General features: G+C 46.2%; 1 long non-coding RNA gene across 1 annotated transcript, besides 1 other annotated feature; it reads right to left on the bottom strand.

Annotated features, from left to right (window-relative positions):
- Window positions 1-2,781: 2,781 nt before the first annotated feature.
- On the bottom strand, window positions 2,782-7,548 carry LOC105375050 (uncharacterized). Its single transcript, NR_187842.1, has 2 exons — window positions 7,223-7,548; window positions 2,782-3,177 (listed from the first exon to the last, which is right to left on the bottom strand). It is a non-coding gene; the product is annotated as an uncharacterized LOC105375050 (long non-coding RNA).
- Window positions 17,675-18,232: an enhancer, noted in NCBI's record as "H3K27ac hESC enhancer chr6:40254197-40254754 (GRCh37/hg19 assembly coordinates)". NCBI's record gives its function as "activates a minimal SCP1, AML or CMV promoter by ChIP-STARR-seq in primed H9 embryonic stem cells {active_cell/tissue: H9 hESC(primed)}" and the evidence as "EXISTENCE:reporter gene assay evidence [ECO:0000049][PMID:30033119]".

A 23,443-nucleotide genomic window follows, 5' to 3' on the forward strand; every position in this document is an offset into this window, starting at 1 on the left:
TGTCTCAATCAGAAGAAGAAAGGCACGGCAGCCAATTAGGACCTGCAATATTTGACTAAGTGTGCCAGATTAATCGCAATTATTAATTACAGGGTATGGAGAGCAGAAATGTAATTATTGACACCTTCCCTTTGTGGAAATTGGCCTTGGGCAATGGAAATCTGAGAAACCAATCAAAGATAACTAAGAACATCTTTCTAGCCAGGGGATAGAGGGTGGAGGGGGGCAAGTTTTCCTCAGGCTGGGAAGGGGAAATCACAGGGCCATTCCCAATGGATTTTTGAGAGGAAGCACCAACCCACTGCTGCCAACTGGCCTGCCCCTACAGGTGGTCCACAATCTGGCTTGGGCCCCCACGTGGTAAAGATTGGTGGTTAAGATAGGGGCTTGGCTCTTGTCCTACTTCTGGCCTGATGCACCAAGTGAATCTGGACTCATCACTTTATTTGGGACTCAGTTCCTTTTCTGTTAATGTGGGATTGTGCTGTAATTAGTGTTTCTCAAAACAGAGGCTGATTAATTTTTCCTGAGTAGGACTATTCAACACATGATAAGAGCCATACATTGCCAAGGGGGCACACTTACTAGGAATCCTTCCTGCCCCCTCTTCCAACCCCAGTGTTTCCAGCCAGCATGACAACCCAAAAGCACACACCCATGTTTTAACATGTCCCCTAGGGAGACAGTACCAAACCTGGCTGAGAACCACTACCTGGTAGGTGGCATACTTGAAGAGTTGTGTGGCCTCTCTGCACCTCAGGGTCTTCATTTGAGAAATGAGGATTCTAATGCACCTTCCTCATTGAGCTATGATGGCTATGATAATTAAATATTACTAAGCACAGTGTCCAGCACATAGTAAGCATAATCATTTTTACCCCTTTTAACATATGGAGCCAAGTAGTTATGATCTGATTTCAACCCTGAAAACTATATACTATTATCTCTGTTTTACAGATGGGGAAACTGAGGAACTGAGAACTTAAATAACTTGCCAGATTTCAACAATGGATCCTTGTGACTTCCCAACCTGGCCTTTTAACAGCCCATTTGCGGGGGACGTGACAAGGACAGGTCTTCACTGACGTTTGTTGTAGGTTGTCTGAGCTGTAGGGGCAGAGAAGAGACACTGGGGCTTCCAGTGATGACTGCCAGGTCTGGAAGACAGGCTGAAGATGGGCTGCATCTTCTGGGTCTGCCAGGCTGCATGCTTTGCAGGCACCTGTTGTAAATCCAGAGTTGGGATTAAGGAGGTCTTTTGCTCTTTGGCTTCACTAAGATTGTGCTAAAGAGCAGGAAGTGAGTGGCTGAGCTCTGGGGACCAAGTCTGCAATAACAAAGCTGGGAAAGGGTACGGAGAGGGTCTGCACCCAGAGGCAGCTGCAGAAAGGGCATGGGCAGGATACTTCTTCCATTATTGCTTGGGGTCAGCAGAGCTCTGTGTCCTGGGCAGAGGAATATGAGACAGGGGACAATGTCCTTACATTCAGATGTTCAGATACCCATCAGAATATTATAGAGAAACCATAGAAAGTTCAGGGGTTCAGGGAGACCCCCTAGGATAGGAGTCACAGCCCATTCTCTGCAAGCTTCTATTCCTGGTGACCTGCAAGGCCCTGCCTGATCTCCATACTGCCTGAACCAACATTTCTCATTCATCTTTGTGCCACCCCCTTCACGCACTAAGTCCAGACACACTGACCTTCTTTCTTTTCCTCTCTCCTATCTCATGGTCTTCACACTTGCAGTCAGTTCTGCCTGAAAGAATTGCTTTTCACCCAGACCTTCCTCCCATAGCTGGCTCATTTTCATCATTCAAGTCTCATCTCAGAAGCCTCTGGCTGGGCGCGGTGGCTCATGCCTATAATCCCAGCACTTTGGGAGGCTGAGGTGGGCAGATCACTTGAGGCCAGGAGTTTGAGACTAGCCTGGTCAACATGGTAAAACCCCATCTCTACTAAAAATACAAAACATTAACCAGGTATGGTGGTGTGTGCCTGTAGTCCCAGCTACTCAGAGGCTGAGGCAGGAGAATCACTTGAACCCGGGAGGCAGAGGTTGCAGTGAGCTGAGATTGCACCGCTACACTCCAACCTGGGCAACAGAGCAAAACTCTGTCTCAAAAATAAATAAATAAATACATAAGAAGCCCCTGCTCAGAGAGGCTGCCCAAACCATTCCAGTTGAAATAGACACGTACACCCAGTAAGAGAAAATTAAAAAAATCTCAGGACCCCCAAACTCATTATGCCAAAGAAAAAGTTAAGCCTCGGAGACTGAGTGACCCAACACTGCCATCTTTTCCCCAGATGAATAGCTGTCACTCCACAACCTTGTGTCAAAGCGTTATCCATTAGCCAGATCCCCACAGAAAGGCAAAAGGCCTCTAGCATCTCCAGATGCTTTTGAAAACTTTCAAGATGCATATCCTCCCACAAGACAAGGACATGTCAATTACAACTTTAGGGCTGCAATCTAAGTGTAGCTCCTAAAACTAAAGTCTGTTAGATTTCACAGTGATACTGCTTATCTTTGCAGATACAGAACAAAGACAAGATTAGATCAATCATTCTTTCACTTACCAAACCTCCCTTTCAGAAAGTATATAAATACTAAGCCTCCTGAAAAAAAAAAAAAAAACATTTCTGGAAAAAACAGCCACAGATGCATCTATGACTTGCGTTTTTCCAAGACATATTCTCAAGCTCTGGCTTAATAAACCTTGATTGATTGAGACTCTTGCCTCAGTCACACATTTCAGTTAACACCCCACTCCTACCATGACGATTATGCTGCTTTTATTTGCTTCTTAGTACTTATTGTAACCTAAAATTGTTTGTTGTTTATTGTCATTTGTCGCAACTAACTTGTAAGTTCCATGAGACCAGTGGTTTTGTCTGTCTTTTCAACATAGTATTCTGAATCTAGAATAGTGCCTGGCACTTAAAAGGTCCTCAGCAAATATCAAACAAATGAACAAAGGATATAGACACAGCATCTGATCACAAAGATCCTTCAGTCTGAGGAGGGAGACACAGCCTTTCTCAGTCTGTTTTCTACTGCTCTAGCAATACCTGAGGCTGAGTAATTTATAACAAATAGAAATGTATTTAGTTCATGATTCTGGAGGCTTGGAAGTCCAGGAGTGAGGGGCCACATCTGGTGAGGGTCTTCTTACTGCATCATCATATGGAAGAGAGGAAAAGAGAGTGAGAAGTTAGCAAGAGAGGGCTGAACTTGCTCTTCTAACAAATCCACTCCCACAATAATAAAATCAATCCATTACAAGGGCAGAGCCTCCATGACCTAATCACCTCTTAAAGGTCTACCTCCCAACTCTGATATATTGAGAATTAAGTTTCCGACACTTGCCTTTCTGGGGGAAACACTCAAACCTTAGCATTCTACCCGTGGCCCCCCAAACTCATGTCTTTTTCACATGTAAAATACATTCATTCCATCCCAGTAGCCCTAAAAAGTCTTAACTTGTACTACTATCAACCCAAAAGTCAAAAGTCCAAAATCTCCTCTAAGTCAGGTATAGATGAGATCAAAGCATGATTCATCCTGAGGCAAATTTTTCTCTACCTGTCAGTCTTTGAAATTAAACAAGTTATCTACTTCTAAAATACAGTGGTGAAAGAGACATAGGACAGACATTCCCATTCTAAAAGGGAGAAATAGTCAAGAAGAAAGGCCCCACAGTCCTAGGGTCTTGGACGTTACCCCACTCCCATGGCTTCACTAGGCATTGACCAAGTTTAGGCTTTCCAAAGTAGCTCTATCCCTGCAACAGGTCTCTGCCTGGGCCTCCAGGCTGTTCATGACATCCTTTGAAATCCAGGTGGAGGGTGCCGTGCCTGCAGCTCTCGCATTCTGCATGCCTGTAGTGTCAGCACCATGTGGACAATGCCAAGATTTATGGCTTATGCCTTCCAGAGTTGGCAGGTCGAGGTGAACCTGGGTAGGCTTAAGCCATGGCTAAGGTGGACAAGGGGCACTATGCTGTAATTTGGGGAACAGAGCCCCAAAACAGTGCAGGACAGCAAATGCTGAAGTTCTACAGATGCCTCTCTGAAAACTTTGCTCTTATGGTCCTGCTCTGGGCCTGTGATGAGGGTGAAAGCTTCAAAGATCTCTGAAATGCCTTTGGGGTCTTTCTCTCATTGCGTTGATAAACAGCACTTGGCTTCCTTCTATCCATCTTAATTGCTTTAGCAAATGGTCACTTGGCCATACCCTTGGTTTGTTCTCCTAAATATGCCTTTTTACTCGTTTTGTTTTGTTTTGTGATGAGTCTCATTCTGCACACAGGCTGGAGTTCAGTGGCACAATCTTGGCTCACTGCAACCTCTGCCTCCCGGATTCAAGCGATTCTCCTGCCTCAGCCTCCCGAGTAGCTGGAATTACAGGCAAGTGCCACCATGCCCAGCTAATTTTTGTATTTTTAGTAGAGACGGGGTTTCGCCATGTTGGTCAGGCTGGTCTTGAACTCCTGACCTCATGATCTGCCTGTCTCAGCCTCCCAAAGTGCTGGGATTATAGGCATGAGCCACCAAGCCCGGCCACCTTTTCACTCTTTACATGGCCAGACTTTGGATTTTCCAACCCTTTCTGCTCTGCTTCCCTTTTCCTTAAAATTCTGTCTTTAAATCATTTTGCTTCTCTTGCATCTTACCATGTGCGTTTAGAAGTAGCCATGCAGGTCCTTCAATATTTTACTTGGAAATTTCTTCCTCCAGTTATCCTAGTTCATCACTCTGAAATTCTGCCTTTGATAAAGTCCTTGGGCATGGATACAATTTGGCCAGGTTATTTGCCACCTCATAACAAGGAGGGCCTTTACACCAATTTCCAATAAGATATTCCTCTTTTCCATCTGAAACCTCATCAGAATGGCCTTTACTGCCCATATTTCTACCAACATGCTGATCACAGCCACTTAAGTAATCTCTAAGAAGATTCTGGCTTTCCTGAGGTCTTTTCTTCTTCTGCAACCACACCAGAATTGCTCATTATGGTCCATTCACAGCAATCTAGCCTTTTTCTAACCTGCTTCTCCAAATTCTTCCAGCTTCTGCTCATTATCCAGTTCCAAAGCTGCTTTCACATTTACAGACATTTGTTGTAGAAACAGCCCCAATTCTCAGTACCAATGCTCCTAGTCTGTTTTCTGCTCCTATAATAGAGTACTTGAACTAGGTAATTTATAATAAACGGATTCATTTGGCTCATAGTTTTGGAGCTGGGAAATCCAAGAGCCAGGGAGCACCTGGTGAGGACCTTCTTGCTGCATCATCCCGTGGCACAATGTCAAAGAAATAGGGAAAATGAGGAAGAGAGGGCTGGAATCACTTTTATAACACACCTACTCCCATGATATCATGCCAGATTCAAGTCAGCTTAGTTATACTAATCCTGACCAGGGCTGAGAGGTTTCACCATGACTCAGTGGCCAATTAAATACTTTTAAATTCATGGTTCATTGTGAGGCTTTCACACAAGGACAACTATGCAAATATATTCAACACATACGCAGGCAGTGATAAGAGAGAGAGGAACAAACCATAGGGAGAGACCAGTACATTGATAGATGAACTGGGGGGTGGGGGTTGGGGGTGGGGCAGAGCTGGAGGCCTCAGGGTTCTCATGAGAAGAGCTGCTTCTGCAGGTATCTCACCATGGTTAGTTTCTTTGCTGTTTTTATGGCCCTCTGAAGGTACATCCATGATCATTATCTCAGCTGTGTTTTGGCTTCACTTTTCCCCCTAGTGGACCAAGCCTAACCCTCTAAAATCAGGGCTAATTAAACTGGGCTTGATCAGATGTGAGTAGTGAGTATGATTAGCGACGAACCCCACAGATCTACCTCCACTGGTCCAGATACGCCTACCTGACCACTCCTTAGTGTAGTATAAAGACTTATCTACTTCTTGAATGGAGAAAAGTGGTTATAGGCCATTTTTCTCTCTGCTTGGAGCCCCCTCTCCCCTCTTTGCTGCCCTCTCAGGTCCTTGCTTCCCATCTCTTTCATCTATATCCATCTTTATAGAATCTAGGGCCACTGCAGTGGCAGTCCGTGAGCAGCACCTACCTGGAGTTGTGTAGTGTACAACCCATGCAGCTGAATGCAGCAGCCCTGATAGACTCCCGGATTCAGGGCTAAAAGGGATCACAGAAGGGCTAGAGCATATTCCCTCAACTTAAAAATGAGGAAATTGCCAGGCACAGTGGCTCACACCTGTAATCCCAGCACCTTGGGAGGCCAAGGTGGGTGGATCACCTGAGGTCAGGAGTTCAAGACCAGCCTGGCCAACATGGTGAAACCCTGTCTCTACTAAAAATACAAAACTTAGCTAGGCATGGTGGCGAGTGCCTGTAATTCCAGCTACTCAGAAAGCTGAGGCAGGAGAATCGCTTAAACCCGGGAGGCGGAGGTTGCAGAGAGCCAAGATCATACCACTGCATTCCAGCCTGGGTGAGAGCAAAACTCTGTCTCAAAAAAAAAAAAAAAAAAAAAAAAAAAAAAGGGGAAATTGAGGCTCCAGGTGTAGAGGAGACTTTTCCAAGGTCATGCCACAGTGATTTAATGACATGGCTGGGATGTGAACCTGCAGCTCTTGGCTTCTCAGGCAGCACCATTGTTTATCCACTCCCTCCTTTTTTGTTGTTGTTATTGTTGACCGAGTCTCGCTCTGTTTCCCAGGCTGGAGTGCAGTGGCATGATCTCAGCTCTCTGCCTCCCAGGTTCAACTGATTCTCCTCCCTCAGCCTGCCGAGTAGCTAGGACTACAGGTGCGTGCCACCACACCAGGCTAATTTTTTTGTATTTTTAGTAGAGACAGGGTTTCACTGTGTTAGACAGGAAGGCCTCGATCTCCTGACCTTGTGATCCGCCTGCCTCCGCCTCCCAAAGTGCTGGGATTACAGGCATGAGCCACTGCGCCCAGCCTCCACTCCCTCCTCCTAAGGCTATCTAAATATTCCCTACTCCCTTTCTTTACCCTGCAATGTATTTTGTGATCTCTGTCCTGGTTTCGCACCCATATTCAGACTTAGTACATGCCATGCCTTGGGGTCTTCCTAAGTAAGACATACAACCAAGCTGTGCCGCCAGTCATGGGTCCACCCCAGAGTGGGGACGCCCTGAGGCTTGGGGCCTTACAAAAGTTAGTAACAGCGTAAAATGCAATGACAGGGGTGGAAAGACCCCCATGCTTACCCTGGCAGAGTAAAAAGTGCAGATGTCAGACACTCTTGAGTAGACATTGCAGCTCCACTTCACATTATGAGCTTGACCTCAGGCAGTTTGCTTCACCTTTCTGGGCTCCAGGATTTTCCAACTACAAAAAGAGATTAAAAAAATAACCCTCACGTCCCCCCGCCCCATCCCAGCTTGCAATTTAGTGAGAATTAAATCATGTGATGTACGCGTAATGGGCCCAGCTTAGCACCAGGCACGCGGGCCCACGCTGTGGCTGCACCTGCCCCTCTGAGATACTCTTTCCTCCCCGAAGACTTCCTTAGCCTGCGTTCTGCATATGCGTTATGGCTCTGCCCTGTGGAAGCCCTTTTAAGGCAGGAACTGTTCCTGGGAAAAGATAAAATCCTTGGCACAGACAAGCCATTACCAGAAATATTTAACCAGCCTGTGTTCACAGGCGGGAGGACACGCATGAAAGCGTTTTATCTTCCTAGCCACAAAGGGAGAGCGGGAGCCCCGCACCAGGCTGAGATGAAGGCTTGATTTTTTTAAGTAGTCATTTAGGATTCTACTGATGCTTTGCTAACTCCCAGTCAAATCACAACATCATGGAAAGAAAAACTCCATTTTCTGCAAAGATGTTGAAATGGCCCTTTCCAATTAGGCAATGGGCTCTGGGAGGGGGATCTCAGACAGGCAGCTGAAAGCCGTCTCTGCTCATCTGTGCATTCAGGGATCTGTGAGCCCAGGGCACCAAAGAAGTAGCCACTCCAAGTGGACTCTGCATGTCCTAAGGCAGGGAAGAGGCCTCCGAATGACATCTTGCCCTCTGCCTCCCACCAGGTTGTTCTGGGATGTCCCTGGAGAGTATAAGTGTCTCGTTAATTACTAGTCAGTTATGTGTTTTACATATATTGATTAGTCTGAGCGTCTACCTTGATTAGCAAAGACCATGACTCTCATAAAATTGCCCACAAGTCATATGTGCAAACACCACCATTTACTTGGAATCCTGCCCTCCCAGTCACTGCTCTACTTTTTATGTATTAACTCATTTAATCTTTACCTGTGGTGGCTTCAAGAATGGCCACAAATTCTTTATACTCCTGCCATGGAGAGGTGGGGGTCTCAGTCATCTCGCCTTGAATCCAAGCAAGCTCTGGGTCTGCTTTGACCAGTAGAATGTGGCAGGAATGATGCTTTGGCCCACGCCTTAAAAGATGTTGCCACTCCCATCTCCTGGCATGCTCTCTTTGGGAGCCCTGGGATACTACATAAAAAGCCTGTCGGCCAGGCAGGGTGGCTCACGCCTGTAATTCCAGCACTTTGGGAGGCCGAGGCAGGCAAATTGCAAGGTCAGGAGTTCAAGACCACCCTGGCCAACATGGCGAAACCCCGTGTCTACTAAAAATACAAAAATTATCCAGGTGTGGTGGCAGGCACCTGTAATTCCAGCTACTCAGGAGGTTGAGGCAGGAGAATTGCTTTAACCTGGGAGGTGGAGATTGTAGTAAGCCGAGATCGCACCACCGCACTCCAGCCTGGGCGACAGAACAAGACGCCATCTCAAAATAAATAAATAAATAAATAAAAGCCCTGTGAGCACTCTAGTTGACCATCCCAGCTGGACCCAGCCTTTCAGTCACCCCAGTTGAGATGCCAGATGTGTGAGTGAAGCCTTTTGGGACCCTCCAGGCCAGCTGAACACCATCGAGTGACAACAGCTGACAGAATGTGGAGCAGATGCACTGAGTGGCAGACCTAGCCTGAGCGACTGACCCAGGACAGCGTGAAATATAATAAAATGGCTGGCTTTATGCAGCAATAGATAAGCAGAATAACCACCTTCTGAGGTAGGCACAACAGGGCACCATGTTACCAATGAGAAGACTTAGACACAGAGATGTTAAGTAGTTTACCCAAGGTCACACAGCTGTTAGTGGTAGAGTCAGAATTTGAAACTCAGGTAGCCTGGGCCCAAAGCCCATGCTCTCACCTCCTCCTCTGAACCTTGTACTGACTACTCCTTTAGCTGTTCTAACACCTCTTGAAGGTACCTATTGGTAAATCTTCTCCATTACTACATGCAAAGGCTGTTGGAAGGCAGGCACCAATTCCCAGTTATCTTTATAACCCTATTCCTGGCTCAGAAGAAAAGCACTGAATGTTTGTTAAGAGAGTGCAGTAGAGTCGGTGGGTGGAGGGAGGAAGAGGTGGATGGATGGATGAATGGACAGATAGACAGATTGATGGACTTGGGTGGGATAGAGCCTGAGAAATGTGGAGGAGCTAGAAGTGTTTGGGATATATGCATATTAGAGGCCCCTGTAAGGACAAGTATGAGGGCACCTGAAGGTGAGGAGAGCCACACACACACTGCGCATGGGGACAAAGTCCCTCTTACTAATTCTATGGGGAGTGCCTTTCTTCTCCAGAGCTTCAAGAAAAGTCACTATTTGAGGATAGAAGTTGATTTTGAAAAACTATTCTATTTTACTATTATATATTGCCTCTGTTTTTTAGCACAATCTCAAAAAAAAAAAAAAAAAAAAAAAAAAAAAAGACCAAAAAAGAACTACAAAGAAATAGACACATAGGGAACACGGAATGTCTAGTCACTAGCTGAACACTAGTTTTACTCCTGAATGTCTTGGTAGTCCAGGCAATAATGAAAATATATTGTAGTTAAGAGTTCTGATTTGGGGGAGGTTGGTTGGTCTCTTAGAGCCAGAACCAGCAATGCCCAATACCTGTATGTGAAAAGGGTTGCCCCCCATTCCTCAGGTGGGTAGCCCCTCTGTCCTCAGTCTCCAGACACATGCACCTCACATTTTCACCACTGGTCCACCTTGGATGCAATGGTGCCTATTCACATCATTTCCCCTGTGGTTCTCAACTGGACATTGATCTGACTTCATTCATCTCTCAAACGTGGATCCTCAGTCCTGGAGATCTTATGTTTCTTTCTAGAAGAGTCAATACCCTCAAGATCTTCCAAACCTTCTGGAAAAATTGAAGTCCCTGGGCTTTTTCTGACAATACTTTTCTGTTTAAGATTCTAGGAAAACAAAATTATTTTTACCATCTTGTCCAATAGTATTTTTCCAGGAAGAATGATCACTCACAACCTCAATGGAAATTTCCACTGGGCCCATTCTGTTTTCTGTAGCCCATTACACAGACCTACATTAAACGTATAGGATGCAATTCCAAAGATGCCAATGGTTAGGTTATATAGTTTGTGGTAGCAGATAAAAGGAGGCAAACAAGCTTATCTGGAGAGATGAAATTTCTACTGCAAGGTGGGTAGTCTCTGTTCAGAGTTCAAAAAGAGCAATTTGTCATTCCAAGAGGGAGTTATTGCAGAGATGCTCTTACAAAGGATGTTGGATAACGTAACAGGCAATCCAGAGATGTTCACTGTCTCATGAAATCCACAAGAGTGGCCTGGACTGCAGATTCTGAACTGTCCTAGAGAGAATGATGGAACATCCCTACACAGCCATCCCCCACCCAGCCCCACCTCCCACCAGGCTCTATCACCTGGTCTTGCTCAAGGTAGATCTGGGGAAAATGCTTAATCCCAGGCCAGATTCACTCAGCCAGGCCTCCTCCCTACCACCCACCACCTCCCCCGCTCCATAGACACACACTCAATTTCACCAGTCTCTGTGCTCAGGGAAATAATTCACTTTACTATCACCCTGAGTAAAATGTGAATCATTGAGCAAAAAACTATCAGACACACACCAAAGCTGAAGATAAATTATTTTTGGAAAGCTGTCATCTTGAAGCCCCCAAATGCTGGCTTCTCCAGGGTTGGAGAGGATGTGAAAGAAGACAGCCATACTGGGCCACTCACTCTTCCCCGAACACACCCGCTTCTCTGCCACCCTTGCACTTGTTCTTCCTCCACCTGGAAACATCCTCTCTGACCTCATCTCTTCCTAGCATAATGTCATCTATCCCTCAAGGCCCAGACCTTCCTGATGTCTCTATACCAGCGTAAGCTCCCCGAGGACATCTCTCATTTTGAGACAGAGCAGGGTTCCCTCTTAGAGGCCTGCTGCCCACCCCACCAAGCATGGAAATAAAATCTTGAGTTCCTTCAAGGAAAATCCCAGGCACCTAGCTAGACTTGAGAAGTAAATGAACAACTTGAAAAGCAAGAAGGCAATGGTAGCTTAAAACAATTGTCACCCAAGTAAGTTAGAGCCACAAGATATTTGGTTCCCTATAGAAACTAAAGATAACTTCTTGACCTGTGTCCCTGAGTTGTTCTTCAGAAACCTGGACCCCCACCAGTTGGAACATACTGACCACTGTCTTGTAGATTTCAGATAAGGGGGAAGTGAGGACTGAATTTCGACTGCCAATCTTTTTACAAATTTCTTCCTGAGTAGCCTAGAGACAGTCACGCTCACAGGCCAAACCATAACATTCCTTTCTGATGACCCCAAGGTTTTAGGCAAAACCTTGCTTCCTTAACCAGTTGCAAATTAAAGAATGTCTGAATCCACCTATAACCTGTAAGCCCTTTGCTGTAAGATGTCCCACCATTTTGGGACAAGCCAAAGCCAAAGTATAATCTTCATGTATTGATGTATTACTTTGCCTATAACCTCTGCCGCCCCACCTTTAAAAACTCTTACAGGTGGCCGGGTGCAGTGGCTCACACCTGTAATCCCAACACTTTGGGAGGCCAAGGCGGGTGAAAAACGAGGTCAAGAGATCGAGACCATCCTGGCCAACATGGTGAAACCTCGTCTCTACTAAAAATACGCAAAATTAGCTGGGCGTGGTGGCACATGCCTGTAGTCCCAGATACTCAGGAGGCTGAGGCAGGAGAATCACTCGAACCCGTGAGGTGGAGGCTGCAGTGAGCTGAGATCGTGCCACTGCACTCCAGCCTGGCAACAGAGTGAGACTCCATCTCAAAAAAACAAAAAGAAAAACAAACAAACTCTTACGTGTGAGCCATTGAGAAGTTTGGGTCTTAAGCATGAGGTGTGTCTGATTCTCCTTGCTTGGCACTCTGCAGTAAGTGCCTCACTTTCTCTCTCTGAAGATCCCAATGTCAGTGTTTAGCTTGCTAGGCTGGGCAGGTAGACTCAAGTTTGGTTTGAAAACAATCTAAAAGGTTTTCTTTAACAGTGCAGGCTCTAGAGCCTATGGCCCATCTCTTCTACCTATAAGATCTCCTTACCAACTATTGGAAGCTCTGATGAAGCTTCTAGGGTCAAGCTTTGTCTGCTAAGCTTTAAAATATTTTTTCAGATGACATGCAACTGCAAGCATCCTCAATTCCTAGCACAATACCAAGAGCAAGAATGTGCTCAGTAAATAAAGGTTGAATGCATTAATAAATCAATAAAGTATGTGTGTGTAGGTGAGAGGATGGAAGGAAAGCTGCATTGATGATGAAATTTTAGACATCCTATGAGGAAAGGACACGGAGAGAGGATTTGTGTGAGCCACAGCTTTGGGGAACACAGGAGCAGGAGGCCAGGAACCTCTCTTCCCTGTGGCAGCCTTGAGATGGTGGGTCTGCCCCGGAATTACGTATTACAAGGAGGAGCAGAGGGAGCAGTTCATCTTCCAATAACAGCTAGGCCCAGCGGCCTGCTCTCATCTCCTTATTATTCTTAGAGGGGTGATCTTGCCTGGCAGAGAGAGAAAGGAGGGGGTGAGCTGGTGGGGGAGGGAGCCAACCTCCGCAGGTCACCTTCAAGAAAATGAGATGTCAGCTGGAAGGAATGAATTAATGAAAAGAAGTAGACCCTGTTGACCTGGCCCCATTCTCTGTAAATCCTGGGTTTGGGAAGTTTTTCCATGGCCTCCACTTCTCAGGGGAATGCTGGGAGGTTAGACGTGGAGGAGTGAATGGGTTTGTAAGTTGTGAGGCTGGGATGAGAAATTTTAGTCACCTGGTCCCCGGCTCTTCTGAATGTTGCTTGCTTATAAAAAGGATATCCTGGCTGTTTCCCAGACACCTTTTCCTGGGGAGGCTCAGAGGCAAGTTGAGGACAATCCAGGCCTTCCTAGAACCTCAGGCACCGGCAGCTGGGAGCATGCTTGATACTTGCAAGGTTTCCCAACCCCTCAAGATGCTGAGAATCACCTGCATAATTGTTAAACAACACAAACTCTGAGCCAGAGGTTCTCTTACTTTAGCGTGCATCAGAATTGCCTGGAGGGCTTGTTAACCCTGGGGTTCAGATTCAGCAGGTCTAGTGTGGGCATAGCCCCACAAATCCCCAGTGCTGCTGCTGCTGCTCCTGGGGCTACACTTTGAGAACCACAGCCCTAGGCTGGCTCACTGACCAGAGTCTCCAGGGAAGGCTCCAGAAGCTATGCTCTTTATAACTTCCCAGGCGATTCTAGCATCAAGACAGTTAAGGAGCTAGTAAAATGTGAGGGCCACCTGCAGCAGAAGCACCTGGTTTCTTTATTAAAATTCAGATTTCCAGGCCTTGCCTTGGCTCTTAGGGCCCAAATTTCTGGTGGGTTGATCCAGGAATTAGCATTTGCCTAGTTCTTCAGGAGTTTTTAAGTTAATTACAGTTTGAAAGCCATGCCCCTATATACCCTCCTATATTACAAGGGAATAAACTGAAGCCCGGAGAGGTGAGCTTGCTGGCAAAGACTTCACCACTAATTAGCAACCAAGCTGAAACCTCAAAGAGCTGTTTGTGCTCTTTGTGGAAGTACAATTCAGGGTCAGGGTGAGCTCAAGTTGCTCTGAGAATTCCAAAGCCAGGCAGATTGGCCAGAGCCCCCCGAATGCTGGAGTTTCCTCTTCAGGTACAGGAGCCACTGTGCACCATTTTCCCTCAAGCCACCCTCCCTTACATGGTAGTGACTTTGTACAACCTGTAGAACACTCTCCCCTCCTCCTGGAGTATTTCACATTTCAGCTTTCATGCTAGTCCCTCTGGGAAACTCCTGTGGCCCTCAGTGGCCAAACACACTCTCCTCTGAAACATTCACTAACCTTGTCCGTTTGTCCACTGCTGCTCTCATTGCTGTGACAAGGACCAACTTAGGAAAGGATCACAGCCGTCCCCACCTTCCAAGGGGTTTGTGCTGCTTAGGGAGTTACCTCTGTGGTACTGGTCTTGGGTGACAGGTTGGGAAAGGACATTGGGACAGCTGCAGCAGTAGAAGCATTAGGGAGACCACAGAGACCAGCTGGGCTGGAAGTTCTGGAAACAACAGACACATCTGGAGAGCATTTTCTGGAAGGAAGAGGAGGGTAAAAAGGATGTTAAAGAAGTTTTGCTCTCTGCTGTGAAATGTAATTCCCACTTCATTCCTTTCACCTCCAGAAAACCTTTAGCAAAGCTGCCCATTATTTTCAAAAGCTTTTAGAGCCAAGTTTTCTGTTATTTTTATTGTGACATTGTGCTAATATGTGCCTTAGGTGGAACCAAGAAGGGCCATTTTCGCTGGGGTGCTGGTATTCCGTACCACCATTGTATTTGTTATTTATTGCTGTGTAATGAATCACTCTAAAACTCAGTGGCTGAAAACAACAATCAATATTTTCTCTCTTGGTTTTTGGATCAGGCTTTTGGATGCAGCTTAGCTGGATGGTTCTAGCTTGGGGTCTGTCCTGAGGTTGCAGTTGAGATGTGGGGCAGGGGTGGATCACCTGAGGTTTGATCTGGGCTGGAGGAGCCCTTTCCAAGGTGGCTCCCTCACATGGCTGGCCACTTGATGCTGGCTATTGGTGGGATGCCACAGTTCTCCCTCATGTCACCTTCTTCCAAGGTGGCATGGGTGTCCTCACAACATACTATCTGACTTCCCCCACCGTGATCAATTCAAGAGACAAGAAGATGGAAGCAGTAATGTCCTTATGACCCAGCTTGGGAAGTCACACATGGTCACACCCACCACACTTTCTCTGGACTACAAAAAAATCTCTAGGTCCAGCCCACATTCAAGGGAATTAGGCTCATTCAAGGAATTTATGAAGGGAAGAATATTAACTATTATGCAGACAGATTTTAAAATGCCACAGTCTCAAAGTATGTGTCTTGTCTTGGGAAATGGGGTGCACTACCCTGAAGGGAGGACCTGCACTCATTCTCTCCTCTCTGAATCCTCATGGCTAGGCCAGTGTCTGGTATGCAGTAGATGCTTCATAAATGTCTGTTGAACCGAACTGACAGCTCACCTCTACCCAATGCCACTCTGAAGCTGCAAGGGGACAGGAAATAGCCCCTGCCTTGGGAGCGGCACTGTCCCTGGACCTCTGGCTGCAAATTCCTGCTCTTGGGCTCTGGCTTATTTGGAACACATGTAGCAGGCTTCACTGGCCTGGTCTCTGACCAGCAGTGTCCTCCTGTTCCGTATACACCTCTGACCTCAGCCTCCTGCTTGTTTCCCCTACAGGGCTTGGCCATAGGCCCTCTAGGCCTCCTCCCTGGGCTTGCTCTACTCTGCCTACTCTACAAAGGCCTGAATGGGCAGCCACTACCACTTGGAGTTTGCTTCAAGGCCTGGATTCCTTCTACGGGGGAACTATTTTATTCCTTTGTGACAGGGTAGGGGCAGGTCAAGGGGGTGGAATCAACTTACCTCCAACTCTGCCGCAAGAGAAATATTCATCACACCATGTCAGTTTCCTCAAAGTCTTCACATGTGCATTTCAGCCTCCAAGACTTTGCTGATGTTTTCCCCACCAAGAGCGCCCTTCCTTCTCCTTTCTGCTCTGCTAGGTTCTATGCACTGGGGAGATAACATGGCATAGTGGAAAGGACACAGGCCTTAGAATCAAAAGATGTGAACTCAAGGCACGGCTTCATCATAAAGTACTTGGGCAACTTGGACAAGTCTGTGCCATAACCTTTCTGAGTCTCAATTTTTCTCATTTATAAGAATGGGGATATCATATCACCTGAGGGTCTTGTTTCAAAGCACAAATGAGAAAATAGATGGGAGAGTATTTTCTGTACGGTATGAAATACTACATGTAAGTAAGAAATTCTTCATTATCCTTCCCATCTTCTTGCATCCAGCTCAAGTTCTGAGTCTCCCAGGAAACTCTTCACATCTATGAACTCTTCTAGCAATTACATCTCAGCCTCACAGCTCTGTATTTAACTCAACATCCTCAAATTTTTATTCCCATTGATGTAGGCTAGTTTCTGGCACTAGAGTGAAAGTACAGCAGGATTTGTCTCTGTCTCCACCACAGCACAGGACACAGTGCTGGGTCCCCAGGGATGCTTAGAGCATCTGAGTGGCAGACCATAGGACAGGCGTGCTGATCTTTGGGGGCTTGAAAAGAAATTGATCTCTACTTTTTATTCTGCCGCCTGTGACCCCGCTAAGCCCCCTTTAATGGAGACTATGGTTCCTTGACTCAGATCCCTTTGGATCTCTCTAGTAGTTCTGTGTACTTAGCCTCCAGCTTCTACTCTGTTTCTAATGACCCACACCTGGAAATCTCATTAACGACCTGCCTGTGGGTTCCTGGAACTCCTTGTTCCACACTTGCAGTCAGTAGGAAGATGCCTGGGAATTTACACCTCTTCCAGCAGTCTGCAAACAGTGACTGTCTAGTGCCAGAGTCTGAAAGCCCAACTCCTTTGCCTGGCAAATGCTGAGGTGTAAACTGAACCCCTGAATTCCTGGCAGGATCAGATTGAGGTTGGGATAGTGTCTAAACTCATGCCTCACCTGGCTTTCTCTCCTTTGCTGTCCTGGTTCCTCCACCCCTTTCCAGCTTTCTGAATAAGTCATTTGCACATGAATTCTCAGCTCAGGATCTGCTTCTGGGGAGCCAGCCCAATAAATCACCATCCAGGGTCCCATCAGAAATGATCAAGGTGGCATTGACGAGCCAAAACGCACCAAGATCCACAGAAAGAAGAGGTAGGGATGAACACCATATCCCTTTTTCTTTTCTGGTCGCTTCCAGATTTTCCACCAACACCATGACTGGGACGAAAAAAAAAGTGATTCATTTTCAGTTTATCTTTTCTTTAACATAACCAACTTCCGCTTCTTGAGGCTTAATTGGATCTATTCTTGGATGTGACAAAAAGTTAGTGGGAAATGAAAGGGGCATATCAAGGAAAAAAACATTTCAAGTGAATAATTTAAGATCACATCCATAATTAATGGCATTTGGCATGCTTCCCCTGGAAGCCTAATCAGAGCATGGAATGTGCTAATTAGAGCGGTTTGGTGCAAATCAGCCCGTGCAGGTGTGGGGAAGCCGCTTCTGTTCTTTTCAGCACCGGTGGCAGCAGCAGCTCAGGAGTCTCTTAGGTTGGGCGGGGCTTGAATCAATGATGAGGCTCTATTCTGAAACACCTTTTGGTGTGAAGCGGGCTTCTCTTCTTTTTGAAGATGTGGGCGTGCGTCTGTGTGTTTGATGGCGGGACACAGAGGGTTGGAGCTGGGGAAACACTTCAGGTGAGCTGTCCTCTGCTGTGGGGAACGTAAGAGAATCAAACAGGGCAAGAGCTGGGAGGAGGGGGTTGAGGAGAGGAGCTGACTACTCCCAGTACCTTCACTCAGCTCACAGTGGCTAGACAAGGTCACCTGTCACACAGCCAGCTGCACCTTGTAAAAGCTAAGGCAACGGGACAACTTCTGTTCAGTGTCCCCTGTGTATTACCACCCTTCTCCAACCTGTCGTCTGCCCCAGCAGGCTGGAACCATGCCCTCAATCCAAGGACTCCCTCGATGTCTGACTTCTGGTTGATTTAGCACATAGGGAACCCCTGAAAGAGATTGGTGGGAAGGAGTGAAGTGAGTTACTTTCCCATCTTTCTGAGGGCTCCCTGTGGTCTGCAGGTCGGCTGTCTTCCTAGATCTAAGATTCCAGTTCTTTTCTAGTAACCCTCTACTCTGTCTCAGAGTCTTAGGGACCCGGGCTTCAGGCTGAGGGGTGTTCCAACCCACCCCCATCAGCCTGGACTACAGCAGCCCCCTCTTGTGGTTTCCCAATCCACCTCCACCTTTGTAAATAACCCCTTTATTAAACTCTCCTCAGATGATCCTCATTGGAGGGTGACATCTCTTAACAGCTGTCAGGATCCTGATGGAGATAGTTAGAACTGTTCCATAAGAGCGACACTCTTTTTAAGTAATTGGAGATTTCTCCCTTAAAAACCAGGGTTTTGGCAAATCATCTCTTCTTTTTGAAGGGAAATCTTTATAAAATGCATCTCCTATTTCTCTACCATCTTAACCAGAACTACACATGATTTTAAAACTGCTCTTGATAACACTTCATAAGCAGGAATTGTTGTATCATGCTGGGCACTGCACACCTTGGGGGCTGTTATGGACCTGAGTTGTGTCCCCTTAAAATCGTATGTTGCAGCCCTAACCCCCAATGTGACTGTATTTGGGCCTTTAAGGAGATAGTTAAGTGAGATCATAAGGATGGGACCCTAATCTGATAGGACTGATGCCCTTATAAGAGAGGAAGATACCAGAGCTCAGGTGTGTGTGTGCACGTGTAATGTGTATGCACAGAAGAGAGGCCGATAGGGTGAGAGGTCAATGTCTGCAAGCTAGGAAGAGGTCCCTTGCCAGAAACCAACTGTGATGATTAACACTGAGTGTCAACTTGATTGGATTAAAGGATGAAAAGTATTGTTCCTGATGCGTCTGTGAGGGTGTTGCCAAAGGAGATTAACATATGACTCAGTGGACTGGAAAGGCAGACCCACCCTTAATCTGTCTGGGCACAATCTAATCAGCTACCAGCATTGCCAGAATAAATGCAGGCAGAAGAATATGAAAAGACCAGACTGGCTTAGCCTCCCAGGCTACATCTTTCTCCTGTGCTGGATGCTTCCTGCCCTCGAACATCAGACTCCAAGTTCTTCAGCTTTGGGACTTGGACTGGCTTCCTTGCTCCTCAGTTTGCAGATGGCCTATTGTGGGACCTATTACTCCTTAATAAATTCCCCTTTATATATACATCTATCCTATTAGTTATGTCCCTCTAAGGAACCCTGACTAATACATCAACTCTGCTAGCTTCTGGACTTCCAAGAACCAGAACTGTAAGAAAATAAATGTCTATTGTTTAAGCCAACCAGTCTCTGGCACTTTGTTATGGCACCCAAGTAGACTAATACAGAGACCCAAGAGCCTAAAACTGTTTGCCCTTGCCTGAAAAAGTTCCAAATTTCAGTGCCCTCTCACCCTCGTTTTACAGTTTCTTTGCCTTAGCTCTGCCAGTTATTACCTCTTGCTGCTGACAGGGTTGCTACCATTAGCAGAGCCATCCCTTACCTACTTCAATCTTACCCATTATTTACTAGTACTAAAGTGTTATGTCAGACCAGAAAAATCAAGTTCACTAGTATTGTATATAAAGCAAGAGTTAATAGGTTCTGAGTGACAGTCTGAATTGTTCTTCCTTAAATAGACTTTTTTAGGATTTTAATGCATAGACATTATCATGAGGACTTTGTAAATGCCCAGAAGCCATTTTTTCTTATACTAGAATCCTTGTCATATTCTTGGACAGCTGAGGTCAAATAAGTGCCATAAGCAAATTGTGGTTGGTAATGCAGTAATTTCTCTGTTTTCTTTTGTGATCTAAACTGGTTAGAACACAATGAAACTCTGGCTTTACCCTCAGGATCTTCTGGCTTGAAATTATTGGAAATATGGCTTCGGGGTCCCCTATTATATGTCCACAGGTAGGAGAGAGGACTCAATTCATTTGTTCTAATGGGTTCCCAGGGAATTTGATTAGTGATCAGGCCCTGCATTGGCCACCCTTTTTCCTGGCCTACATGGCACTGCAGCCAGTCAATAGGTACCAATTTTATTAGGTGCTGCTCGTGTAATGGTGCACAAGGCGCCCCTCCAACCTCCTTGGCTTGTAATGCTCATTGGCAGAGACAGCTAATCGATAGTTGCTCCTCACCAGCCCCATAGATATCGATTCAGGGCTCAGGAAGACTTTATAAGGAGTCATTGGGGGGATTCTTTCAGTTCAAATTGAATTGTGGGCCATTAAATCTCTTTAGCAAAAGACTGCGCCTCATATCACATGCCAATGCTCCTTCTGAATTTTTAACCAGTGCCCACCTCTGGAGAACATCCTGCCTTTGCTAAAGCCATCTCAGCGGGTCCCAGGTTTTTCTTTCCCCTGGCAGATCTGGTTAATTGTTATGGATCTTCCAGCAGGTAAAAGCAGGCTTTGTTTTCCTTGCAAAAGAAAACCAATTCAGGTGGTCCTGCCCATAAACTGGAAGGAAGGAGTAGGGGAAGAAAGAAAGGAAAAACAAGAGGAGAGTCAGACATGGGATGCCTGCTGTCAAGTTAGTCTCAGAGAACTAAACATTGATCAGATACCACACATGTGCATACACACACACACACACATCTTGACCCACATAAGCAGACACAAACAGGTACATACACATAAACACACATGTAAATAGGCACACTCACACATGTTCATGTGCATGTATACAAACACGGTCATGCATGCACACACAATCACAAATGCACACACAAACGTGCATGCACATGTACAAACACACTTATGTGTGCACACTTACACAAACATGCACACTTCTTCCTGCTACCCATGTTCATTCTTAGGGACCCCTTGAGGGAGTTTCCAGGAGAGAATAAAGATTCTCTTCCCACCTGGCCAGTGGTAACAGGGGAGAAAGCCTATTACAATGGAAAGGCTGACTCCCCAGCTCCATCATTGCCAACTCTGTGACATTACGCAAGTTATGTGATTTCTCCAAAATTTGATGTCTCCATCTATAAAACAGGAGTTAATCATCATATAACAGGGTCATAGTGCAGAATTAGTTCATTGGAGAAAATGCTCTAGCACATAGCAGGTAGTAAATATCTGTTCCCCGTGCTGCAATCTTTGATGAGTTCTCCCTGGAATCAGAGAAGGGAATGGCTGTTGAAACTCTCACGTTGGCTGGGTGTGGTGGCTTGTGCCTGTCATCCCAACACTTTGGGAGGCCGAGACAGGAAATCCAAGGAACAGAACTGTTAGAAAATTAATGTCTACCATTTAAGCCACCCAGTCTCTGGCAAATTTGTTATGAGAGCTCAAGTAGACTAATCACTTTAGCCCAGGAGCTTGAGACCAGCCTGAGCAACATAGAGAGACCTCTGTCTCTACCAAAAATTAAAATAAACAATTAGCCCAGCATGGTGGTGTGCACCTGTGGTCCCAGCTACTTGGGAGGCTGAGGTACGAGGATTGCTTGAGTCCAGGAAGTTCAGGATGCAGTGAGCTGTGATCACATGACTGTATACCAGCCTGGGTGACAGAACGAGACCCTGTCTCAAAAAAAAGGTCCTAATTTCATCAATGAGGACATCAAGGCCCAGAGAGAGGATGGACCTTTTCCGAAGTCACTGACGGAGTTAGTAACAGACTGGGATTGGATTCCTGGTCCACTTCCTTCCAGTCCTTTTTTTCTATTGTGCTGCCTTCATCAAGGAGGACTGAGAGGCTCCACTGGCCCCATCACCAACCCCAGCAAGATTAATTGTTTTTGTTAGAGACTAACATTCTTGTAGAAGTTTACTCTTTTCACAGAGCAAAGGCTAATTAGAAATTGCAGTCTTAAGGGAGGCTGCCCTGGGCCTCTTATTGGTACCTATGCCCAGGGTGAAACGAAAAGAAGCCAGAGAGTAGGCTGTGTGTGATATGAAGATGTCACCCCTGGCTTGGACAGGTTTCTTTAGAGCGCAGAGTCTCCTGAAAATTGTCTCAGGAGACCCTGCCTAGCAACAATCATTGATTTAAACAACAACAAAAAGCAGCTCATTATGGGGCAGGTGCCAGCCTAGGCTGGAAACCGGGCACCAGGGTCTAGGGATGCACATTCAGTGATAAAACATGCTGCCAGGATGGATGAAGAGCCAGGGTCAGGAATCCCTGGGTCAGAGCCAGGACAAGAATTCAATTCAGTAAATACTTGCCACAGCCTGTCCAGGAACAGTTAATAGCACACATAGGGTGGAGGCTGAAAATGCCCCTGAAACTGTAGCAGGGCTCATGGTTAATAACATTTGAGCATTCACCACGTGCCAGGTGCTATTGTAAGGCTTTCCATGTAGTCACTCATTAGTCTTCATAATGACTCTATGGGGTAATGCCTGTCTTTATACCCATTTTACAAGTGAAGACACTGAAACAAAGAGAGCTTAAGTAAGCAGTCCAAGGTCTAAGAGGCACAAATAGAATTTGAATCTACACATTTAACAATGATGCCCCTGTCTTCAATCTTAAGAGGTCTGAGTTAAGGACTTGAGCACCAGTAGCTTATTTGGGGGATCTCGGGAAACACGGGAAAGGGAGAGGGGAAGTGGGATAGAGAAAAGAATGAAGCCAATACAGGGTGCATTAGAAAACAGATTGACAACTAGAGCTTAATCCTGCTTGCCAGGACTAGGAGCCAGGGCAGAGCATGCACCTTGGTTTTATATGCCTCTTAGGGGTGAGAGAGCTGGGGTATTTCTACACCAAGCCCCATCAATCACGGGTTGAGAGCTGCTCTTGGGCTGATAGTTCCTCAGCAATTCCAGCCTGCCATGAACAGGCAATGAAGGATTTAGAGGACAAGGAAAGCCCTCAAAAAATATATAGATAATAAAAATAAACAAAAAAACCACTCAGGTGCAAGGAGGCATTTGAAGTTGGCTGGTGTGCAACTGAGGAGATATGGGTGAGGCTCTGGCAGTGTTCAGTATGGAAACCCCAACCTCCTAAATGACAGAAGAGAACAGAGATCCTCACTTCTGGCTTAGAAATCAAAACAACTAGACCCAGAGTGGTAAGCAATGAAAGATCTGAAATACCTGGAACAAGTGGTGATGTCCCCTCTACCCCTTGTCCCTGGGCATGCAGATCAGCCCCTGTAGACTCATTTCATGCATATCCTCAATCCCAACACAGAACACATGTTGTCAGGCCTGAATGTGCATGATTTAAGTTCAAAGATGAGACAAAGACCTCACCTGACTGGATGGCTTCACTTGCCTGGCCCCTTACCCACCCCTGGCTTTGAGCAGTACAACAGACATCGGTGAGTTAAGTCTTATGTCCATCCTGCCTGACTGGGGGACTTGAGAACAAGGAACTGCCACAAGGCAGGGTGTGGAGGCAGGAGAAGGAAGGGCCCAAATACCTCACCTGTAAAGAGATGCTTGCCTCAGAGGTTGAGCCCTGACAGGCTACAGCGGCACCCCTGCTTGGGGAGCAGG

Source organism: Homo sapiens, chromosome 6, assembly GCF_000001405.40.
Source record: "Homo sapiens chromosome 6, GRCh38.p14 Primary Assembly".
In the NCBI taxonomy this organism is placed as follows: domain Eukaryota; kingdom Metazoa; phylum Chordata; class Mammalia; order Primates; family Hominidae; genus Homo; species Homo sapiens.